Source organism: Homo sapiens, chromosome 5 (assembly GCF_000001405.40).
Source record: "Homo sapiens chromosome 5, GRCh38.p14 Primary Assembly".
In the NCBI taxonomy this organism is placed as follows: Eukaryota; Metazoa; Chordata; class Mammalia; order Primates; family Hominidae; genus Homo; species Homo sapiens.
In genome coordinates this window covers 10,539,307-10,563,602 of record NC_000005.10, presented here as the reverse complement: position 1 = coordinate 10,563,602, position 24,296 = coordinate 10,539,307, and the positions used below count along the sequence as shown (strand labels likewise).

General features: G+C 46.9%; 2 annotated features.

Annotated features, from left to right (window-relative positions):
• Positions 10,869-10,918: an enhancer, noted in NCBI's record as "active region_22356". NCBI's record gives its function as "activates an Ori minimal core promoter by ATAC-STARR-seq in GM12878 lymphoblastoid cells {active_cell/tissue: GM12878}" and the evidence as "EXISTENCE:reporter gene assay evidence [ECO:0000049][PMID:35858748]".
• Positions 11,069-11,866: an enhancer, noted in NCBI's record as "NANOG-H3K27ac-H3K4me1 hESC enhancer chr5:10551849-10552646 (GRCh37/hg19 assembly coordinates)". NCBI's record gives its function as "activates a minimal SCP1, AML or CMV promoter by ChIP-STARR-seq in naive H9 embryonic stem cells {active_cell/tissue: H9 hESC(naive)}" and the evidence as "EXISTENCE:reporter gene assay evidence [ECO:0000049][PMID:30033119]".

Below are 24,296 nucleotides of genomic sequence, written 5' to 3'. Positions count from 1 at the left end.
CCGGGGCCGGCCGTGGCTTGAGGGTTGGTCAGATCCTGGGATGGGGGGCGGGGTGTTCCGGAACCTCAGGGAGCATCTGAGTGGGAACGGACGACGAGGAACTCCCCGTCCCCATGCCTGGCCTGTGTCACGTGCGGGGATCTGCGGACTCACCCCCGGAGGCTGCGACTGGGCGCTGACCCCACGTCTGGCTGCCCAAAAGAGCAGGGCCGCGGGCGACAGCCGCAGTCCAGGCCCACAGCCCCTCTGGCCCGGCCTTGCCCTCTCCCCGTCAGTCCTGGCGCCGGGGATGGGCGGGGAGGAGGAGGGCGTGTGAGGATTTGCCACAGGGAGCCCTTGACTTCGGGGTAGGAGGCGTCGTGAGCCAATCTTGGGGGAAGGTCTCTGCGCAAAGGCGCGGAGGTGCGCTCGCGCCCGTCGCAGGTCAAAGACTGCGGAGGCCACCAGCCCTGTGTCCCCCTAGCCTCCTTCCTTCCTTTTTTTCCCCCGATCTTGACAGCGTGTCCACCAGCTGCCAGCCGGTGGGAGGCCCTCGCGGCCCCAAGGTGAACACAGCTAGGCTGGCGCAGCCGCTGGGGACCAGGCTTGAGGCCCACGTGCCGCTGGGCAAGCTGAGGGGCACGAGGGCACCGAATCCGAAACAGCCGTGGGAGGTGTAGGATGAGGACACGTTTAAACTGCGAAGCCGCTCGAGCCCTCGTGTCACACCGCACTGGCCCGACCCGCTGTCCTGGTCGCCTGGTCTTCCAGTGTCTCCAGCAGGAGCCAAAGGGCCTGCTGGCGGCCCCCGACCCGGCATCTGCAGGGCCCCGGAGGGTGGGGCGCGCGGGAGCACCGATTTCTGGTGAAGACGCCCTCGCACCTGGGCGGCTCTGAGCGAGCAGCGAACTGAGACTCGCTGGCCTCCTTCTCTACTCCGGGGATTCTTTCTGCAACCAAAAATAGCCCCCAGATTACAGTAAACTCTACCTTTTTGTGTAACTGACCACAGTTTGCATCAATTCCCACTGGGAATTTCCCCTTTCAAGGTTGAGGGTTGTTTCCAAAGGCCTGGGGTAGTTACAATTTCAAGTGCCCCCTGAGGGCTGAGTTGGGTTTGCTGGACCCACTGTCCTCCCAGGGAGAGCACTGCGTCACTTTACAGCAAGAGTCCCGGCTGCGGGTCACCAAGGCCCAGGTGGACAGGGCCAGGCCCTGAGAGGGGAGCACCACGCAGCCTTTTCTGGCCTCCCGTAGGCGATTGGTGCTCATTGACCGCGTCACTCAGCAAGGGAATTGAGGTTCTATCTTCAGAGTTTACCACTTCCTTTTCTTCCTTAGAAATTTGAGTCCAAATAGCATTTGAATGTGTTTCCCCTTAAATATAAACTAAAATGTCATCGTCTGCTTCAAAGAAGAACTATCGTTTATAAGTAAGTGGTCCGATTCAGGATGCAAGCTGATCATTTTCCTGTCTTTTAAAAATAAACCGCTAAGAAGAAACAATAAATAAAAAATAAAATATGCTTCTTTTACAACAAAGACAGTAGAGTCTGGACATTTCTGGAAGATGGGCTAAAAGAAACACAAAATCGACCGGGCGCGGTGGCTCACGCCTGTAATCCCAGCATTTTGGGAGTCCGAGGCGGGCGGATCACGAGGTCAGGAGATCGAGACCATCCTGGCTAACATGGTGAAACCCTGTCTCTACCAAAAATACAAAAACAAAATTAGCTGGGCGCAGTGGCGGGCGCCTGTAGCCCCAGCTACTGGGGAGGCTGAGGCTGGAGAATGGCGTGAACCCGGGAGGCGGAGCTTGCAGTGAGCAGAGATTGTGCCACTGCACTCCAGCCTGGGCGACAGAGCGAGACCCCGTCTCAAAAACAAAACAAAACAAAACACCAAAAAAAAAAAAAAAGACACAAAATCAGGCATAGGCATTTTTAGTAAAGCCAACATTTATTATATGTACAAAATCTGCATAGGTAGGAGAAAGTAGCTTATCAAAACTGCCGACTCAGGATAACTTAAATTAATATTCTGAGGCCAGGTGTGGTGGCTCACACCTGTAATTTCAAAACTTTGGGAGGTTGAGTCTAGCGGATCCCTTGAGCCCCAGGAGTTCAAGCCCAACCTGGGCAACGTGGTGAAACCCCATCTCTGCAAAACATACAAAATATAGCCTAGTGTGGTGGCGTGTGCCTGCAGTCCCAGCTACTTGAGGGGGAAGTCGAGGCTGCAGTGAGCCCTGATGGTGCCACTGCATTCCAGCCTGGGCAACAGAGTGAGACCCTGTCTCAAAACAAAAAGAGAAGTACTGAGAAATTATATTTTATCCGACTGTCAAGTTTCAATGAATTATTTTGTTATGATTTTGAAAGATATACATAGCAATTACACAATTTGTTCATTTAGTTGAATAATTTGTCTTTGGACCATTTTTTAAAAATTCAGCACTAGCTCAGTTATATGTCTGTAACATGCCTTTCAAAATTACAAGCAGTATGTTTATCTTGAAGAGAGAGAAAACTGCATGCACCTATAGGGCCTGCCCCACCTTGGTTTGGAAGGAGGGAGGCAGGGGGAACCTAGTGGTGGAGGAGCACACAAGTGCACCACAGTGTTCATAAAATAACTAGCTCCAGCACTTTGGGAGGCCAAGGTGGGCAGATCACTTGAGGTCAGGAGTTCGAGACCAATCTGGCCAACATGGTGAAACCCCATCTCTACTAAAAATACAAAAATTAGCCAGATATGGTGCTGCATGCCTATATTCCCCACTGCTCGGGAGGCTAAGGCAGGAGAATTGCTTGAACCTGGGAGGCGGAGGTTGCAGTGAGCTGAGATTGTGCCACTGTACTCCAGCCTGGATGACAGAGTGAGACGCCATCCCTCACCAAAGAAGAAAATAAAATAACCAGTTCCCATCTCCCAAGGCTAAATGAAGAACTGAAGGAGAGAGTGATTTAAAACCTTCTCACATTGTCTGGAATTTAGCAACAGTGTTAACTTTCATTAGTATGAAAATTAAAGTATCCATTCGCCTTGATATAAATTGTTCTGTAGGACCTGCTTCTCCAGATTCATTGCCTTATTTGCCGAGAGAGCTAGCCCAGGTGAAGTGAATGAGAAATGTGTATAGAAGGCAGTGCAGCTTGGGGTGAAGACCAGATAGTGATATCAGACAGGCTGGCTTCCAATTATGGCTTTACCACTGCTAAGTTACAATGATAATAGTTCTAGATTTTGAATGTCTGTTACTGTGGGGGTACCAATCTCCTATTCTTGATGTTTAGGGTATTTCCAACATTTTCCTTAGTGGACACAAATGCACCCTTGTCCAGGTATTTCCTCAGAAAAACATCCCACCTCAAGTGGCTTGAGCTTTTTAAACCCCAGTATTATGTGTAAAAATTGTTCTCAGTGAGAGAGACTGGGAGAGCCAGACCTCAAGCTCAGATGGGAAGACTCAGGGCTGTAAAGATCCTACTTGTCTTCATACTGTTCTAGAAATGACATGACCACATTCCTGTGTGAATGCTTGGAGGGGAACATGACAGCACTAATCCAAAGTAGATCTCATGAGATAACAACCGTCTGATAATTTCTTTTGCTGCTGTTGTTTTCATTGTCGTTGACGAAAGCTTTCCAGAGTTAGTCTCTGTTACTAGGAACTAAAACTCAGTTCAGCAAAACAGCATATTAAGAAAAAAACTCGACCGGGCGCGGTGGTTCATGCCTGTAATCCCAGCACAGAAAGAGAGAGAGAGAGAGAGAAAAGAAAGAAAAGAAAGAAAGAGCAAGCTAAATGGGGAAAAAACATTAATTGCAGAAAAAACATTAATTGTGCTGCTTGTGGCAAGTGGTTAGGATGATAGCCAAAACGTAGAGAGAATTCACAAACCAAGAAGGAAAAGCTGAGCATATTTATTAATTTGTTTAGCCCCTGTTGTTCCATAGTGAGGGAAATACAGCTCATTACGATGAAAAAGACTCATTCGCTTGCCTTAGGTAGCCGAAGGGAAACTGTGCCAGGAGGCGTGGGCTCTGCCTTCTTCAGCGAGTGAGCTGAGTGGTAGCTATAGTTAAAGGGAAACAGGCCAATCCTTGAAGTTGGATGCCAGAGAAGAAAACGAGGGTCTGGGGTCAGCCAGGGCTGGAGAGGGGACCTTAAGGCTCAGCTTCACAAAGGCTGGATGCTTTGTTTTCTCAATACCACCTTCCTCTCAGTCATCTTCTCAAAAGACAGAGCTGGGAGATGCTAATGGGCTGAGGTTTGTAACAGGCTCTTCCAGCTCTCCCACTGCCTACGAGAGAAGAAGTGAGTGGGGAACGGGACATCTCTTAGTCACTCATTTTTTAAAAAACAGTTTTAAAACACTCATGTTTTTAAAAACCAAAATGATTTGTTTTGGAGTTTTTGCAAATTTCTCTGAGTTGATTCCCACACTCGTGGGAGCAACCTAGAGTGTCCTGAAGTCAATCTGTGGAATCACTAGGCCAGATTACCTTTCTCATCAGTTTAGGAATATAAAGAAAGGTCTCTGTGTATTTCTGGATCTCCCTATTAAAGAGATTAGTTGCTGTTTGGGCCTCACTCCATTCAATTGACAGCACCTAGATCCCTCCTATTACAATCTCAATTCATGTAACCATTTCGGAACTTCAGCTTCTTTTAAGGAAGTTTTCTTTGTGATTAAATGTCTAGAAGTAAATGCATGTGTGCACTTAACTGCCAGTTCTGCCACCTTTTTCCTGCTCTGCATGGGATTAGCAATAGTGGGGTATCACTAGAAAATCCATGCCTACTCTAAGGACAAAAGGCCTTGGGTCTTTTGCCAATGGAACCTTTTATTCAACAGAATAAATGTGGTTGGATTTACAAGGCCAGTTGAGGGAGTCCTGTGAGGTGAGAACCTATTAAAAGACCTACTGATCGGCCAGGCGCGGTGGCTCACGCCTGTAATCCCAGCACTTTGGGAGACTGAGGTGGGCATATCATGAGGTCAGAAGTTTGAGACCAGCCTGGCTAACATGGTGAAACCCCATCTCTACTAAAAATACAAAAATTAGCCGGGCGTGGTGGCACGTGCCTGTAATCCCAGCTACTCGGGAGGCTGAGGCAGGAGAATTGCTTGAACCCAGGAGGTGGAGGTTGTAGTGACCCGAGATCGCGCCACTGTAGCCCAGCCTGGGCAACAGAGCAAGACTCCATCTCAAAAAAAAAAAAAAAATGACCTACTAATCGAGGGCTTCCCCATGACCCACCCTGATGGCCTTCCCCGAAGTGCAGGAGAAACTCCACCCTTTTCCCTATCACTTCCCCTGTTACATGCCCCTGTAATCACTCTTACTGCCCTGCTTTCCAATATGTTTTTGCAAAACTATGTTCCTCTGTAAGCTGACAGTTTGCCAAGAGCAGGAACCAGGTCTCGTTAATTTCTTTTTGAATCCCCAGCATCTAAAAGGATGCCTCACCATCTTGGTTGATCTTCAACAGATGTGTTAAACAAAAGAGAAGGCGATGCCTGCTAGACCCAGCTCTGCTGCATCTTGGAAACTTCTGAATGTACACAAGGTCAGCACAGAGCAGCTGATCACCAGGAACCTGAGCTTTCTTTAGCCACTTACACTTCAAAGTCTTTGTATCTTCAGGATTTTTTAAAAAACCTCCTGCCATAGGTAGGTAAATATGGGACTCAGGAGGATACTCAGATTCTGTGTCAGCTTCTGAGGATCAACAGCCCTCTGTAAAGCCGGATTCATGCCTTAGCACGTGTAAAACTGCCAGACTGAGACTTCAGGGACACCAAGCAAGGGGACTGGAGCTGATAGACCAGCACCTTATGAACCAGGAGGGATGGGGGCATCGTGCCTGGCTCTCAGCTGGGACCAGTGTGCTTAATGCCAGGCCTACAAGTTGCCACCCCATCCTCTCCCTAACTGAGCATAAATTCAGTCAGCAAAGCAAAGCCTAAATCAGGATTTCAAACTACCGTGGTGAATCACACAGTTTGGCTTCCCTTGTCACTCAGCTTATTCTCTCTTAGGTCAGTTTCAGGTCAAAACGTGCCCATGGGGACAAAGATGAAGGCAGGGAGAATGCAGGCTGGGCAGCGACTGCATGTTGGGAGGCTCAGCCATCAGCATCCCTGACTTTGTCATTCTGATCTTGGGGAACACAGAAGAGGACCCTCCCCTGCAGCAGAACCCTGAGCCCTCCTTCCCTGGGACTCTGGATCCCTCCCAACCCTCCCTGAGGTCCTCCCGTCATGGTGTAGCATCTGTTTCTGCATCCACAGCCCACTCAGATCCCCACTCCACAACAGACTTTACGCCCCCACACGCTCCTGCGCTACCCCCACCAGCTTAGCTCACAGCTGAACCTTCTGCAAGACAGATCCGCACAAGCTGCACTTTTTCATCTTCCATTTCTTCATTTGACATATGTAATACACACAATCGAAAATTACAAAAGTAATTCACGCTTCTTGGGAAAAACCCCCCAAACATTATGCTCTACACAGTAAGAAGGCAGTGTCAGCCGGGCATGGTGGCTGTGCCTGTCATCCCAGCTACTTGGGAGGCTGAGGCAAGAGGATGGCTTGAACCTGAGAAATTGAGGCTATAGTGAACTATGATCACAGTTCTGCACTCCAACCTCAGTAACAGAGCAAGACCCTGTCTCAAAAAGTAAAATAAAATAAACATTTTTTAAAGAAGGTAATGTCTTTACTTTCATTTCCTCCTGCTGCTCTTTGAATTGCTGCCATCTGCTCCTGCCCCACCCACCCCCACCATCCCTGGCTTCCCCAAGGATCCCACAAGGGTTTCTTTCCTATGAAATTCAGTGGACATTTCCAGCCCTAAGCCATATTTGATGACGACATGTGCCCCATGCTTTGCCTGAACAGTGATCATCTCCAGGAAATACAGACACAGTCCCCTGGATTCCCTTCAGCTGTCCATACTATGGTCATCCAAGCACTGTAAACAGAGCTGGAAAGTGGGGATCCCCATACTCCATGCCCCTGGCAGTCCTGAGACCACAGGAAGGGAGAGTAGCCTGGAGTTCTGCTCATAGCCTTGCAGAGGGGCAAGGCTGAGGACTGAATTCTCTAGGACAGAGACTGTTCCCTGTTGTATGCTAAAGCAGCACGTGGCTTGAGTGCCTGGGAAACATTTCTGATGACTAAGTGAAGGAGGGATGGCTGAGCCAGCCCAGCTCTCCTGTGACCCTAAACCTAAAGCAACCTACTCCACCTACCTAACCCAGAAGCGACATGCTTAGCAGTGCCAAAGCTCAGCTCAACCCTGGCACAAAGTGTGTGGGAACAAAATCCACGCTCCTAAGACGTGGACTGCAATGGAGCTGGAGCTGATGGTTACTAATTTTCTTCCTTTTCTTTCTTTCTTTTTTTTTTTCTTTTTCTTTGAGACAAGGTCTTACTCTATCACCCAGAATGGGATGCAGTGGCAAATCATAACTCACTGCAGCCTCCAACTCCTGGACTCAAGCAATCCTCCCACCTCAGCCTCCCAAGTAGCTGGGACCACAGGCATGCATCACCATGCCCGGCTAATTTTTTATTTTTTGTAGAGATAGGGTCTCCCTATGCTATATTGCCCAGGCTGGTTTTGAACTCCTGGGCTCAAGCCATCCTCCTGCTGTGTCCTCCCACAGTGCTGGGATTACAGGTGCAAGCCACTGCACCTGGCCCATTACTACTTTTCACTAGCACACTTTTTTTTGCACTTGAGTACGACTGCCTCTGTTTCCATGGCTGTATATGTATATAGGGTTTAGACTCTCTCAGACAATTCACCAGAACATTTTGGTATTTCATTTTTAGAACCAAAAATACCCCAAGTTTATAATGATAAAAATTCCCAAGTTCTATTCTCTCTCCTAATCTGGAGTTATTCAGTCAACTGGCTTACTGAGCACGGCAGATGCACACTCCACTTCTCAATATGCACACTTTGTCATGGTTTTCCTCCTCAGAAGCCCCCACCGGTGACTCATGCCCACATTCCCTGTGTCAGCAGCCGGCTCCCAGGCCCCGCAGCAGACCTGCCAGGATGCCTCGGGGCTTGTGGCTTCTGGTCTCTTTGTTGGCATAGACTTCCCCTCCCATCCCTTGTAAACATTTTCCTCAATAGTATTTACTCAGTTTGATGTATTACTTACATATGTAGTCCAGATATCCACTGCAGGCATTGGGAGGGAGAGAAGAGGATCCCGGTGTCATCCTGCTTGCAGTTATTCATAATGTTGAGATTCCTGTGTGTGCAACCTGTTCACAGGATGTGCAGCTACCGAGCACTCAAACTGGAAGGGCGGGAAGGTGTTGCTGAAGAGGTGGGATGTCACCGAAAAGAACAGGACCTCAATAAAACTCTCAAGTTTAGGTGGTGGAGCAGAAAGTATAGTCTGTTGAGGGGAATAGACCAGACACACATACACGCATGCCTCAGAGGACAGAGCAGCACAGCCGGTTTTGACTTCATATAAGAATTCTCTCTCTCTCTCTCTTTATTTATTTATTTATTTATTTATTTGGTTTTTGTTGTTGTTGTTGTTGTTTTTGAGACAGAATTTTGCTCTTATTGACCAGGCTGGAGTGCAGTGGCGCAATCTCAGCTCACTGCAACCTCCGCCTCCCAGGTTCAAGCGATTCTTCTGCCTCAGCCTCTCAAGTATCTGGGATTACAGGTGCCCGCCACCTACCCCAGTTAATTTTTGTATTTTTAGTAGAGACGGGGTTTCACCATGTTGGCCAGACTGGTCTCGAACTCCTGACCTCAGGTGATCCGCCCACCTCAGCCTCCAAAAGTGCTGAGATTACAGGTGTGAGCCACTGAGCCCAGCCTCTTTTTCTCTCTTACATATGATTTTTCACTGCACCTCAACTCAATCTCTACTGTCTGTCTTTGAGTTCCAGATTCTGGGGCCCAATTTGCCCTTCCCCAGGTTGTCAGAAGAATGGAACCAAATCTCACCTCTCCCTTAGTTTCAGATCATCCACCCTTTGAAGAAGGTGTCTGAACTCCATCAGTGTATTTTTTAAGTCTTTTTTTCCTAAGCCCTAATGATATCTACAACTGAATGCCCTTCCTTTTCCCCACTCCAGCACTCTAGGGACCCTTGCTTTGGGCCCTCTATTGGGGCCGCTTCCTCACTTCCCTCACACTGTCTCCAACACCTGGCAGCTCCTTTCCACTGCTTCTTCCTCTTGCACCTTCCCACCGTCCCCAGCCTCTCGTCCTATCCAGTCCACCCCACACTGATGCGGTTCTCAGACTTCCCAGATATCACTGCACAATCAGAGGGCCGCAGGGGGACCACCGTCCATTACACATACGTCCACCCCATGAACTGAGATCACTCTCACCAGCGTAAAATCTGCTTTTATTGGCACAATATGAAATCACAACAAGTGCCCCCCACCCTCCACCCAGCACACCTGCATGCACACACACACACACACACACACTCATACACATGCATATACATACACAAGCTCTCCAGTGAAGATGAGTGTGTCTCTCAGTAAGGATTTCCAGTCATCAATACAGTGCTTTCTGCTCATTGATTCCCATGGTCATCTAGGAACATTTGCCACTAAGCAGTAAAAGGCACTGAAGGTAAAGTTAAAATGTTGGTGTAAAAGACACTGAAAATGGAGCTGGCCGAATTCTAGAGCCAGCATTTTTCTGTGTATTGGGAAAAGGCTGCCTTGTTTTATTCTAGCTGTGGATATTTCAGGTGGCTTAGGGAGCTTTCCACCTGGCCTCTCTCCTGACCTCCGCACCTCCTTTGACCTTGCCCTAGGACTTGCCCCTAAATATCTCAACCCTTTTCACTACCCAGATTGCCCCTAAAGGTTTGAGGCTGTGCCCTAAACCCCGCAGCTGCTGAGAGGCTGGACCACTGCCCTGGGCTCGGGGCGGCGGCCCCAAGGTGATTCTCCAATGCTTCACTTTCTGACACCCTTTGGGGCAATGGCTCAACCCTTTTCACCACCCAGCACCACAACCCTGCTCTTGCAGTTTGTCTCCTTTCCTGCCTCAGGTCACTAGGCAGTCTCACGTGAATGCCCCTCTTATCAAACTGTCTCCTGGCCTGCCCTTGGCTTCCGGAAGCTCCACATCATCCTGGTTGCTGAGTATTGCCCCGCAAAAGTCACACTGCTGAAAAAGAAGGCTACTTAAAAATGCGGGTGTCGGCCGGGCATGGTGGCTCACGCCTGTCATCCCAGCACTTTGGGAGACCAAGGCGGGTGGATCACTTGAGGTCAGGAGTTTGAGACCAGCCTGGCCAACATGGCGAAACCCTGTCTCTACTAAAAATACAAAAATTGGCCAGGCATGGTGGTGCATGCCTGCATGCCTATAATCCCAGCTACTTGGGAGACTGAGGCAGGAGAATTGCTTGAACCCAGGATCTGAGCCAAGATCGTGCCACTGCACTCCAGCCTGGGCAACGGAGCAAGACTCTCAAAAAAAAAAAAAAAAAAAGCAGGTGTGGTCTGCACACAGGAAGTTCCCAGTCACTCAGCAGTTCTTGCACTTGGCCTTGCTTTATAAACAGTCACCACTTTCTCTCAGTCCCACCCCACTTGGTCTGAGCAGGCAACATCACTCTCCAGTGGCGAGGGTTGAGGGCCCAAGGCACAAGGCTTGTCTCTGTCCCCTCCCTCCCCAGGCACCTTACCTTCAGCCCTGGCTGGCCCCCTCACACCCAGGGTTCCCATCAAGCTTAAAGAGGCATAGCCAGACGGCACCCTGGATAGTGCCTCCTGGGGGTCACACAGGCACCTAGAGACTCCCCCAAGCCTGACTAACACAGCACTGCCATCTGCCCAGGAGGCCTCCCTCTGCAGCTCCTGCTTCTCATCCCTCCCCCTCCATTCCCACTGCCACCTCAGGTGTCTCCTCTGTAGGCCTCCACATCCACACAGTGATCTATGGCATGGCACCGCTCTTGAGTTTAGAGCAGGCATGTCTAGGCTCAAAACCCCACCTGGCACCAACCCTGTGACTCAGTCATTCCACTCCTGGGCACGTACCCAGCAGAAATGTGTACATGTGGCCAAACAAAGACGTGAACGGGAATGTTCACGGAAACTTTTTTCACCGTGGCAAAAAAGAAAGAGAGGAAACAAATGCTCCCCAACAGTAGATTGGATAGAGTAGTTGCGGCACAATCATCAGTGCAGCACCGCACAGCAGTGAGAACGGGTGAGCTGCACACAACAGCATAAAGGAATGTCACCCGCTTAGCGTTGACCAAAAGAAACCAAACACAGAAGAGCACATGCTGTATGATTCCATTGACAGAAGCTTAGAAATCAGGCTAAACTAATGGCTAGTGCTGGAAATCAGGATAGTGTCTACCTTTTGGGAGGAAGAAGGGGTAGTGATTGGGAAGTGGACAAGGGAGGTTTTGGGGGCACTGGGAATGTCCTATCTGTTGTCCCAATGGGTTCACTTTAACATAATTTCATCAATCTATATACTTAAGATTTTTCTGAATGTTTGCAACCCTTCAATAAGTTTGTTTGTTTGTTTTTTTGTTTTTTGTACAGAGTCCTCCTGCTTGGGCCTCCCAAAGTGCTGGGATTATAGGCATGAGCCACCATGCCCGGCCCTTTTTTAAAAACTCAGCTCTTTTTAGCTTGGGTAAGTTATGTATCCCTGTCCAGGAATACAACACCTGCCTCACGAAGTGGTAATGGAAGACAGAGAAAGGCAACGCATGAGAAGCATCTAGTGTGGAGCCTGAAACTGAGCAAGCACTCAATATTAGTTATGATTATTAATTAGCCCTTAGTAAATGCAGAAGGAAGCTAAACCCACTGCCCCAGCTCTCTCCCTATCCCAGAAATTCTCTTGATTCCTGTAGCCCCTGTCCTGTAAGAGGTGCCCTGGGAACCACCTCAGTGCTAGTGCTCCACGCCCTGTGGCCTCCCACTGAGAATGGAATTCCTAGGGAGGAAGGCTCCCTCCCAGTTCCAGGCGTCCTCAGGGAGGGGATTCCAAGCAGCCCATTGGATTTCAGGATCCTCTGTAGCACTACTCACAGTTTAGGCATTTCTTGTTGGCTCTTGAGCTTAACTACGATTCAAATCATTGTTTACCCCAAATTCCCCAGGGCCAGATCACTGGTTGGGAATGCCCACCCCGGGTGTCCTCTGACCTATTGCTGCACGTTTAACCCAGAGAGTGCCACTGATATTGAAGAATGTGCTCATTAGCTCCCAGCCCACAAGACCAACAATAAACACTGGTTTTCTGGCCGGGCGCTATAGCCCACGCCTGTAATCCCATCACTTTGGGAGGCCAAGGCAGGCAGATCACCTGAGGTCAGGAGTTTGAGACCAGGCTTGCCAAAATGGTAAAACCCCGTCTCTACTAAAAATACAAAAATTAGCCAGGTGTGGTGGCAAGGACCTGTAATCCCAGCTGCTTGGGAAGCTGAGGCAGGAGAATCACTTGAACCCAGGAGGCAGAGGTTGCAGTGAGCCCAGATCATACCACTGCACTCCAGCTTTGGGCGGTAAGAGTGAAACTCTGTCTCAAACAAAAACCCTGGCCTTCGGATGGGCTTTTTCTGGGGGACATTATAACACCCTAGGCTCAGGAAATGCATCAGCTTCTCTTGACAAGTGGAACAGTCTTTCAGCTACTGTCTAACCCCTTTATGCTTCTATTTTCCTATCTATAAAGATGGGAGTGAGAATAGAGCCTTTCTCATAGTATTTTGGTGAGGATTAAATGAGCTAATTTATGTAAAATTCTTAAAACAGCGCCTGGCACATAAGAAGCATTGCATAAGCATTAGGATTGGCATTCCTGCTGTTGCTGGTAGAACACAGCACATTGCTTCTCTAATTGAACTGTCCTGGGGCTGTGCGGTGGTCCTCCCTGCTCCAAGCAGCCTCCAGTCATACTAGAGTTCAGAAGACAAACTGGAGAAACCAAGGGCAGCTTGGCAAGGGTACCAGCCACTTAAAAACTGGGTGCAATTCTGGAAGATTAAAAATGGCAGCAGAGAAAGACGGTGAAGGGCTTAGGCGGAGAGGTCATCAATGTCGTGTCCACACCTCCAATGCTTCAGGTGTCGAAAAGTAAGGTACTGGAGAATCACCTTGGGGCCCCCGCCCCGAGCCCAGGGCAGCAGTCCAGCCTCTCAGCAGCTGTGGGGTCCTTTTCCTCCAGCACATTCCTCCTTCCCGCAGCCACACCTCAGCCCTTCTCCAGTTGTGTAGTAGGACACAGTCACCTCCGATCTGACTGCCTTCTTTCCTTGTGGCCCAGGACAGGAGCATAAAAATAACAAACATGGAAGCATTTCCAGAACCTTACAGATTTCTACAACCACAGGCCTGATCTGGAGTTGCCAGCTTCTTCCACTATAACACCTGGAAAATCCATTGACTTCTCCCCCTTCTGGAAGGTTTCTCCATCTCCTACCAGTCTCTCCTATGGGCAGGTATAATCTTTCCCACCAGAGTGGCTGCTTCCCAGCCCTGAAGTTAGAAAAACCACCCGAAGCAAGGCGGGGCGCAGTGGCTTACACCTGTAATCCCAGCACTTTGAGAGGCCGAGGCGGGTGGATCATCTGAGGTCAGGAGTTCCAGACCAGCCTGACCAACATGGTGAAACTCTGCCTCTACTAAAAATACAAAATTAGGCAGGTGTGGTGACAGGTGCCTGTAATCCCAGCTACTTTGGGAGGCTGAGGCAGGAGAATTGCTTGAACCCGGGAGGCAGAGGTTGCAGTGAGCCGAGATTGTGCCATTGCACTCCAGACTGGGCAACAAGAGCGAAACTCCATCTCAAAAAAAAGAAAAGAAGAGGAGAGAGACACACAGAGAGAAGGCCGTGTGAACCTGTGAAGATAGAGGCAGAGGTTGAGGTGATGCCGCTTAAAGCTAATGAATGCCAAGGATTGCTGAGAGCCACCAGAGGCTGGAGGAGGCAGGAAGGAGTCTCCCCTACATTGTCCTGCAGATGCCTTGATTTCAAACTTCTAGCTTTTAGGATCATGAGACCATTCACTTCTGTTGTTGTAAGATACCTGGTTTCTGTGACTTGGTTATGGCAGCCCTAGCAAACCAACACACATGCTAACACATGCCGACATGCACTAACACATGCCGACATGCACTAACACATGCCGACACACAGGCTAACATGCCGACACGCACACCAACACATGCCGACACGCACGCTAACACATGCCGACACACATGCTAACATGCCGACACGCACACCAACACATGCCGACACGCACACTAACATGCCGACACGTGCTAACACATGCCGACACGCACACCAACACATGCCGACACGCACGCTAACACATGCCAACACGCACACTAACACATGCCGACACGCACACCAACACATGCCGACACGCACACCAACACATGCCGACACGCACACTAACACATGCCAACACATGTGCTAACACATGCCGACACGCACGCTAACGCAGACACATGCTAACATGCTGACACGCACACCAACACATGCCGACACGCACACCAACACATGCCGACACGCACACCAACACATGCCGACACGCACGCTAACACATGCTGACACGCGTGCTAACACATGCCGACACGTGTGCTAACACATGCTGACACACATGCTAACATGCCGACACACGCGCTAACACATGCCGACACGCACACTAACACATGCCAACACACATGCTAACACATGCCAACATGCACTAACACATGCCGACACACATGCTAACACATGCCGACACACATGCTAACACATGCCGACACACATGCTAACACATGCCGACATGCACTAACACATGCCAACGCACACGCTAACACATGCCGACACACATGCTAACATGCCGACACACGCACTAACACATGCCGACACACACGCTAACATGCCGACACGCACGCTAACACATGCCGACACGCACGCTAACACGCCGACACGCACGCTAACGCGTGCCGACACGCGCACTAACACATGCACTAACACATGCCAACACACACGCTAACACATGCCAACTTACATGCTAACAACACAAATCTGCGGCCTTCTTCGTGGCTGTGTAGCACTGAATGGCATTGACATGCCATCATTCATTCAAACAATCCAATGGTGATGGGCCCCTGGCTTCTTTCCAGTGGTCACTGTTGTAAACAAAAGCGCAATGCACCGCCGTGTGTATCTATCTTGGCTCAACTGTCTTTTATATGCTTATAATTATTTCTATAAGTGGAATTATTTATATGTTTTTTCCAGCTTTATTGATGCATAATTGGCATATGAAAAAACTGTACCTAATTACTATATACAATTTGGTGAGCTGGGCCATATAAACAGCCTCATGTTACCACAACTGAGGTAATAAACCTACCCGTCACCTCCAAAAGTTTTCTTGTATACCTTTGTTGTTCCTGTACTTTTTGTTTGTTTGTTTTAGAGACTGGGTATCATTATGTTGCCCAGGTTGGCCTCAAACTCCTGGGCTCAAGCAATCCTCTTGCCTTGGCTTCCTGAGTAGCTGGGACTGCAGGTGCAAGCCACCATACCTGGCTCCATATAGCTTTGAAAGGCTTTTGAAAACTTACGCCAAATCACCTACTAAAGAGGCAAATGAGAAAAAAAAAGCAATAAAAAAATACAAATAATGATTTATCTGAAAAGTTTCTCAATTTACAGAGCTGACTTTCTAGCTATCTGTTTGTTGCTATGCCAGAGGAATCAATTGTTTAAGAAAAAAAAAAGGTTTTGATATCACGTGAGTTCAGAGGCAGCACAGGATGAAACTGGGGAAAGCAGGCTCAGAGTCTAATTATTATTCATTACTAGAAATCACACTGAGCAGTGGTGAAATTGGGTCAGCAGCAGCATGGTGGGGGAGTTTGGTGGAAAAAAGGGGTCAGATATCTCCCAACTGTGGCTCGCATAGGAGCCACTGGGGATGGTGAGCATATGGATGCAGGAAGGTGGGTTAGATTCAGGAGAAAGTCTTTGACTCAGGCCTCAAGTAAGGACCCCCACCACTTGAGATGAAGTGCAGAGAACCCAAGAAGATGAACTGAGAGGGTGGAGCATGTTTGTTCATTTTGTTTCGTTTTGTTTTTTTGGCCCAGGCTGAAGTACAGTGGCACAATCATAGCTCACTGCAGCCTCCACTTCCTGGGCTCAAGCGATCCTCCCACCTCAGCCTCTCTAGTAGCTGGGACTACAGGCATGCACCACCACACCTGGCTAATTTTTTATTTGTTGTAGAGACAAGGTTTCACTGTGCTGCCTAGGCTGGTCTGGAACTCCTGGCCTCATGGGATCCTCCTGCCTCGACCTCCCAAAGAGCTGGCATGAAGCCACACCCAGCCTGGAGCAGTTATTGAGTAGGTGGTCAAGGTTGCTCAGGACAGCCTTGCCCTTCTGCAGCACTTTGCTTAGGACTGGCCCTGGCCCATGGGAGGGAAGGGAATTCCCTTGTGCTTCCTGTTTTCTCCCCTTTTCACTGTTAAAGATAATTTTAAAAAAAGAAAACAAAAAAAATCATGACTCCCTTACAGATATACAAATGAATGCTTATTAAAGATTTTCTTCCATAAATGAAGGAACAAGGCAGGTGTTCCATCCAGTTTAAAGATAATCTGAAGAGCAGATGTGTTTCTAGATCAGGAATATGGAAATGATTGTGCAAATTAAGGCAAAACTGATTTTCCAAGGTGGCTGGGCAAGAAGTCAGTTGAACCTCTTCTGAACATGACAGAATTTGCATATCTATAAACAAGAATTATTTCTCATTGCTATCAGTTACTGTACTAGGTTGAATAGTGTCCACCAATAACTCATGTCCACCCAGAACCTGTGAATGTGACCTTATTTGGAAATAGGGTCTTTGCAGACATAATAATGTTAAGTGAGGTCATACTGGAGAAGAGTAGACCGTAAGTCTAACATGGCTGATATCTTTATAAGAAGAGGGCAACTCGGACACAGAGACCCAGACACACAGTGGAGAAGGCAATGTAAAGATGGAGGCAGAAATCAGAATGATGCGTCTACAAACCAAGAAGCACCAAGCATTGACAGCAACTGCCAGGAGCTGGGAAGAGGGCGGGAAGGAACCTCTCCTAGAGCCTTTAGAGAGGGCTTGGTCTTGCTGAGACGTCGGTTGCAGTCTCAGTAAGCTCTGAACTGGAGCCTTCAGTTCCAGTAACGTCTGGAACTGTGAAGTGATCAATGTCTGTTGTGCTAAGTTACCCAATTTGTGGTGCTGTGTTACAATAGCCCTAAGTAACTAACACAGTTATCTACAACTTCCTGAGGTATGAAATAGCTCAAAGACAACGAAAGGCTAAAATCAGATACCCTGGAGTTCTAGCTACTAAGAAAATGCACAATTTTCCACGGAAGCAAATATATTTCCTGCATCATATTAGAGTTTCCTGCTCCTAGCAACCAAACTTGAAGATGGGCTGGTTTTTATCTGTACAAGTCGATACAATATTGTCATTCTACAAGTGTGGGACCAAGTGTTTTTGCCAAAACCTTTCGTTTTTACAGAGCTTTGTGTGGGGAGGGTTGAAGATGTCATCAAAATTTTTGACAATGTTTACTGTCATGTATGGATTCATGCAAAAGAATGGAGCATTTCTTTCAGTATGCTACATTTCCAAAAATGTTGTGTAATTATGCCAGAAATTCTTGATTTAAATAATATTTTAGTCAAAATATTTTAAGAAGAATTTTTATATGTTTATACATTTGTTTTTCCAGCAAAGGAGCATTTTCAGGAGCACAGAAGATTGGACAGAACAAGACCACACTCTTGGGAATGGACAAGGTGCTGTAGATTCTGTATGAATTAGCCTTTCCCATCCTCAAGATTAAAACAACACTAACAACAACAAAAGCTAACCTATCATGGCAGTGGAACTTGTGTGACAATTTGCATTCTGACAGCTGCCAAAGTTTTCTTTGGAGAGGAATCTGACAGAATGTTTCAGATTGCTGTTTAAGCCAGTCCCATTTTTCAATTGAAAAATGATTAGCTGAATTAGCTTAGGATGTGAAACTTCAAGTTTTGCAAAAGATTGATATAACACCTCTCTTGTCCCTGTTACGATAACAAAGGAAATTGAGTATGGTCATTCGTCTAGGCACAATGACTCGAGATTCTGTTGGAAAAGAATTGTGGTTTCTGGGACCTTGGAGATCATCATAAAACCTTTATATATATATACACAGAGAGAGAGAGAGAGAGAGAGAGACAGAGAGAGAGAGAGAGAGACAGAGAGAGAGAGAGAGAGAGAGACAGAGAGAGAGAGAGAGTCTCTCTGTCACCCAGGCTGGAACGCAGTGGCTCGATCTCAGATCCCTGCAACCTTCACCTCCCGGTTCAAGCAATTCTCATGCCTCAGTCTCCCAAGTAGCTGGGACTAAAGGCGCACGCCACCACTCCTGGCTAGTTTTTTTTGTTGTTGTTTTTTGGTTTTTTTTTTTTTTTTGTATTTTGGTAGACACGGGGTTTCACTGTGTTGCCCAGACTGATCTCAAACCCCTGAGCTCAGATAATCCACCTGCGTCAGCCTCCCAAAGTGCTAGGATTACAGGCATGAGCCACTGCACCCAGTCCCTTATGATATTTTTAACACTGCATGAAAATTTTTAACACTGCATGAAAATTCTTCTAAGCAAGTTTGCTAAATAGCAAAAAAAAAAAAAAAAACATTCTTAATGGGGTTTTGCCATGCTAGTGCTCCAGATGAACTGGGGTTTGCTGATACTGAGTGAAAATCAAAGGAAAAACACTCATTTCTGGTGTGTGCTCTGTCATGGACCATCAGTGGTACCTTTCAAAACTCTGTCCAGAAATCGATAAGAAAACTTCAACTAAAGATAATCAATGAAATGAAAAACTGTGTGTCAACCCCCAGATGTTTTGCTTTGCTCTGGATGAAGATCTGAATGCCAATCAGAAAGTGCTGCTCCACTGGGTACTGGAGTTTATTGGTTGTCAAAGGAAAATAAGCATTTTTACCTGCTGGTTGAGACAGGTATCCTATGTTTGGAATACTAGAGAAAAGAAACTCCTCAAAAGATCTTCCAGCAAAGCTTATCATATTAGACAACTATGTTCAAAAGTTTGAATATGAACTTTGCCTTATTAAAACATTTAGAGCTCAAATCAAGTCACAGATGTCAGGAATCATTACTAAAATGGTCTATTTATTTGTTTCAACATAAAACTTTCAAACACAATGTTCTTAAGATAATTTCACAGAAAAATAAACTTTTACCTAGTGCATGCTTAGGCTGAATTGGGGGACTATTTTCTAGATATCATGGCTGAAAAATCCTATTTCAGAGCTTATCAAGAAATCCTCTTTCCTCCTAATATTCTATCTGTACCAGGAAACACCACCAAGAATTTCTTTCTTTTTTTTGAGACCAAGTCTCATTCTGTCGCCCAGGCTAGAGTGCAGTGGCGCAGTCTTGGCTCACTGCAAGCTCCACCTCCCGGGTTCAAGTGATTCTCCTGACTCAGCCTCCCGAGTAGCTGGGATTACAGGCGTGCATCACCATGCCTGGCTAATTTTTGCATTTTTAGTAGAGACAAGGTTTCACCATGTTGGCCAGGCTGGTCTCGAACCACTGACCTCAGGTAATCCACCCGCCTTGGCCTCCCAAAGTGCTAAGATTACAGGCGTGAGCCACTGTACCCGGCTTGGCTTTGACATTTACAAGTCTATAAAGGAAATGGGTCCCTAGATAAAACTGTGTCTACAAAAGGAACAGAAAAAGGACAGACGGGCTTCCTAGATTACATAACTGAGTCATTGCATCAACCTGCCCGGAAATCTGCCCACCTCTGGACTTCTATAATGGGAACCAATGAATCTCCTTTGTCATCTAAGACAGTTTAAGTTGGGTTTCTAATTACTTGCCACATAAAGAATCTTTGCTAAATCTGAATTTGGTGCCAGGAGGTAAGTGTTGCAAATCATAAACACTAACAAGCTAAATTGCCCAGAGAACAGTGAGGATACCTCTAGCCCAGTTTTGAAACGAGGAATTCTTATTACATGTTTGCAAAATAGTTAATTAAATTGTCTTCAATTATATCTTAAGAAATAGGTCATTTATCCATTATGATAGTTTGAGGGGATGTTTTAGGAAATGTTTAGAATGTGTTGGCTAATTCTTGTGATCTTCTGTAAGGTTTTAGAAGAAAAACAGCTTGGGTCACAGGTAACCCAAGTAGAATGGGAGATGATAATCCCTGTTAATCACAACAAAGTCTTAACTGATACAAGAACTTTGGAGAATTGCTAGGTAAAATCTCCCTCCTTAAAACGAGAGAAAGCATTCTTATCATTTTTCTATTTTTACCCGTCTATATTTGATTTTTCCTTCCTACGGACTTTGAAAACAAAACAGTGCGTTAGGCTAGATGTTGAAAGGGTCATGATGAGCTCTGTTCTCCCTCTTCTTCAGAAGATGCCAATGCAAGACTCCAAGCTTACTCATATATAAACTGACAAATTTTTTTAATGTATCTTTAAAGATGGCCGAGTGTGGTGGCTTCACGCCTGTAAATTCCAGCACTTTGGGAGGCTGAGGCAGGAGAATCGCTTGAGCCCAGGAGTTTGAGACCAGTCTAGACAACCTAGGGAGATGCCCTCCCTACAAAAAACAAAAATAAATAAAACATTAGCCAATTACGGTGGGGCACACCTGTAGCCCCAGCTACTTGGGAGGCTGTGGCCGTGATCGTGCCACTGCCTTCCAGCCTGGGCAACAGAGCAAGACCCTGTCTCAAAAAATAAATAGGTAAGTAAATAAATAAAATAAAAAATTTGAAAAATAAAAATAATATTTTCTTCTATTCCTATCATTGTATTGGTTTAGTTTTGGTCACCATGTTGTTTTGAAATTTCAAGTAACATTAAAAGAAAGCATATGCTTTGTATATTTTCTCAAAATGGAGATAGATTTGAAGTTTGAGAATATTCTGCCAGAGAATCTGGAAGCAGAGAAACGAAAGCTGCTTCAATACATTGTCAAAGGGAGTCCAACCAAAAATAATTGAAAGATCATAGAACAGTAATGTTTGACAGAGGAAATGAAGAGGAATTTGATTTACAAAAAAAAAAAATACTTTAACTTTTATAGAACTTGTCTATTTTGAAAGGCATGAGTAATTGAACTGATTTCCACTTATATCCGCCTTCCTGCCAAAGTTTTCAAAGCTTGTTTTTTCTAATGATGATAATGCATGTTCCTTGCCTCTCAGCAGCTCCAGGGAACTCAAAGCATTTTGCAGATATTATCTCATTAGTCCTGACTCTATCCCCAGGTACTTTGCAGACATTATCCTGCATTTTAAAAATGATCGCAGCTCAAAATGGAAAATGACACCAAATCTCCTGCAGCTCTCTCTTTTTTAAACACTGTATGTAAATAACTAAATGCAGGTATTAGTCTAGATTCTTGGTTGCAGACAACAGAGCTCTCACTGCAGCTAGTTTAAGCAAGAAAGAGATTAAAAAGATGCTGAATAGCTCACCAAATTTCCTGGAGAGAGGGAGAGTCTGGTTCACAGGCTGTCCATCCCAAAGCTCATTGCTGCAGGGTTAAAAAAAAAAAAAAAAAAAAGATGCTCTTCAAAAAAAATAGTTTTAGATTTACAGATATATTGAGCATATAGTTCAGAGTTCCCATATGCCATGCCCCTATTATTAATACCTAACATTAGTATAGTAATTTTGTTATAATTAGCGAACCAATACCGACGTATTATTAGGAACTAAAGTCCCTAGATTATTCGGATTTCCTTCGTTTTTACCTAATATCCATTTTCTGTTCCAGGATCCCATCCAGGGTCTCACGTGACATCTAGTCATCATGTGTCTTTAGACCCCTCTTGCTGTGACAGTTTCTGACTCGGGGTTTTGGATGATCTTGGTGGTTTTCAGGAGGACTGATGAGGGATATTGTAGGATGCTCCTCTATCAGAATTTGCCTGATTTTTTTTTCTCACGGTGAGATGAAGGCTGTGAGTTTTAGTGGGGAAGACCACAGAGGCAAAGCTCCACGTGTATTGCATCACAGCAAGGGCACACCTCGTCAACCCGACTAACGCTTGACCTTGACCATGTGACAGGCGGCGATGGTCAGGTCTTCCCATGGCAGTGTTGCTCTTTGCCCTCCCCGTTCCTATGCTGTGCTCTTTGGAGGAAAGTCACTATGCACTGCAGGGGCTCACTTCGTCTACTTCCAGAGTCTCCGGTTGGAGGAATGTAAAATATAATTGCCTTAATCCTTAGCAGGGCCTTCAGGGTCCTCCTGGCATCCCTCCACCCTGCTGGCTTCTTGGCTAAATTCTTTCTGTGCTTCTCCTGATGGAAGGTTGGCATCGTGTCTCCATCATTCACGCATCCTCCAGGGGACCCCACATGGTACCCTGCACACAGTAGGCCCTTTACAAAGCTCTAAAAACTTTGAATAGAACTGGATTTCATCTAATAGTTAATACCAATCTTTCATAGGCTGCTGGTAGGTGAGTGAGGGTGAGGGCCACTGGAGCAGAGAGGGACGTAGCTGGTTGAATGCTCCAACCAGAGCAGTGGACAGGCCCTAGGGTTCTCATCTGGACCCTGTACCATCTGCATTTTAAAAACCTACTTGGGGCCAGGTGTGGTGGCTCACATCTGTAATTCTAGCACTTTGGGAGGCAGAGGTGGCAGGATCATTTGAGGCCAGGCCTTTGAGACTAGCCTGGGCAACATAGCAAGACCCCATCTTTATTATTTAAAGAAGAAAAAAAGAAAAAGAAAATAAAAACTTACTTGGCAGAAGACTGACTTACTTAACTGAGAGTTTCTCTTTTCTTTTTTTTTTTTTTTTTTTTTTGAGATGGAGTGTTGCTCTGTCGCCCAAGGTGGAGTGCAGTGGCATAATCTCAGCTCACTGCAACCTCTGCCTCCTGGGTTCAAGTGATTTGCCTGCCTCAGCCTCTTGAGTAGCTGGGATTATAGGCACATGCCACCATGCCCGGCTAATTTTTTTTTTTTTTTTTTTTTTGTATTTTTTTGGTAGAGATGGGGTTTCACCATGTTGGCCAGGCTAAGTCTTGAACTCCTGATCTCAAGTGATCCACCCGCCTCAGCCTCCCAAAGTGCTGGGATCATAGGTGTGAGCCACCATGCCTGGCCTGGATTCTTCCTTACCCCCACCCCCCCGCCCCCCTTATCAAGGGACAGAGACTCTCCTAAGACTCGAAAGTTAGAGGGTGGAGTTTCCTGTCATCGGAGTAATAAATTAGGAGGTGACAGAACTTCCTAATGCCCGAGACCCTGACATGTGGTTCGGACAGGCCTTGGCAACCCTGAACTGGGTATCCCGTCGGTGCAAAGCATCGTGGAATGAACTAGAGGAGGCCTGTGCCATAGATCAGGTCTCCCGTATCTGCTGGTATGGACTGAATGTTTGTCTCCCCGCCAATTCTTGTGTTGAAGCCCTAACCCCCAGTATGATGGTATTAGGAGATGGGGCTTTGGGGAGGTGATTAGCTTTAAATGAGGCCATGACAAAATGAGTGCCTTCGTAAGAAGAGACTCCAGAGCGCTCTCTCTTTCTCCATCATATGAGGACAGGGCAAGAGGGCAGTCACCTACAAGGCAGGAAGACATCTCTCATCAGGAACTGAATCAGCCAGAACCTCAATCCTGGACTTCCAGAAATAAATTCCTGTTGTGTAAGCCACCCAGTCTGTGGTATTTTGCCATAGCAGCCCAGCTGACAAAGACAGCAGTTTTCTCTCTGGTCCTCCACTGCGCTGGCTTAGTGCTTTCTCTAGCTCACTGAATCTTCCCACTCACACAAATCTGACCAGCCTTGGATCTCTCACGACTCCTGTTTCACCTGCTGACCATGTTGCAGCTTTAACTTTTGCTCCAACCCAGTCAGTTATCACAACCAGGAAGACGACCAGCCCAGTCCTTCCCTTCCTGTTCAGCCCTCTGCGTGTCAGTGTGTTTCTCAGGCAGCCGCATGAGTTTCTCTGGGGTTGGGAGCCCATCCACTCTTGACCAACTCAGCTGAAGCCAAGAAGGGGCCAGTAGGGCCTGGGAGCGGAGCACGCTCTTTGAGATAGGGCTGTGGGCATTCCCAGCAGTCAGGTCTCCAGGTCAACCCAAAGACATGGGACTAGGCTTGCCTGATTTGCTGCTGAAACATGCCCAGCAAGGTTTCCAAATCACCTGGGGAAGTGGGGCTGGGGGACTCAGCCAGCACAGTGGACC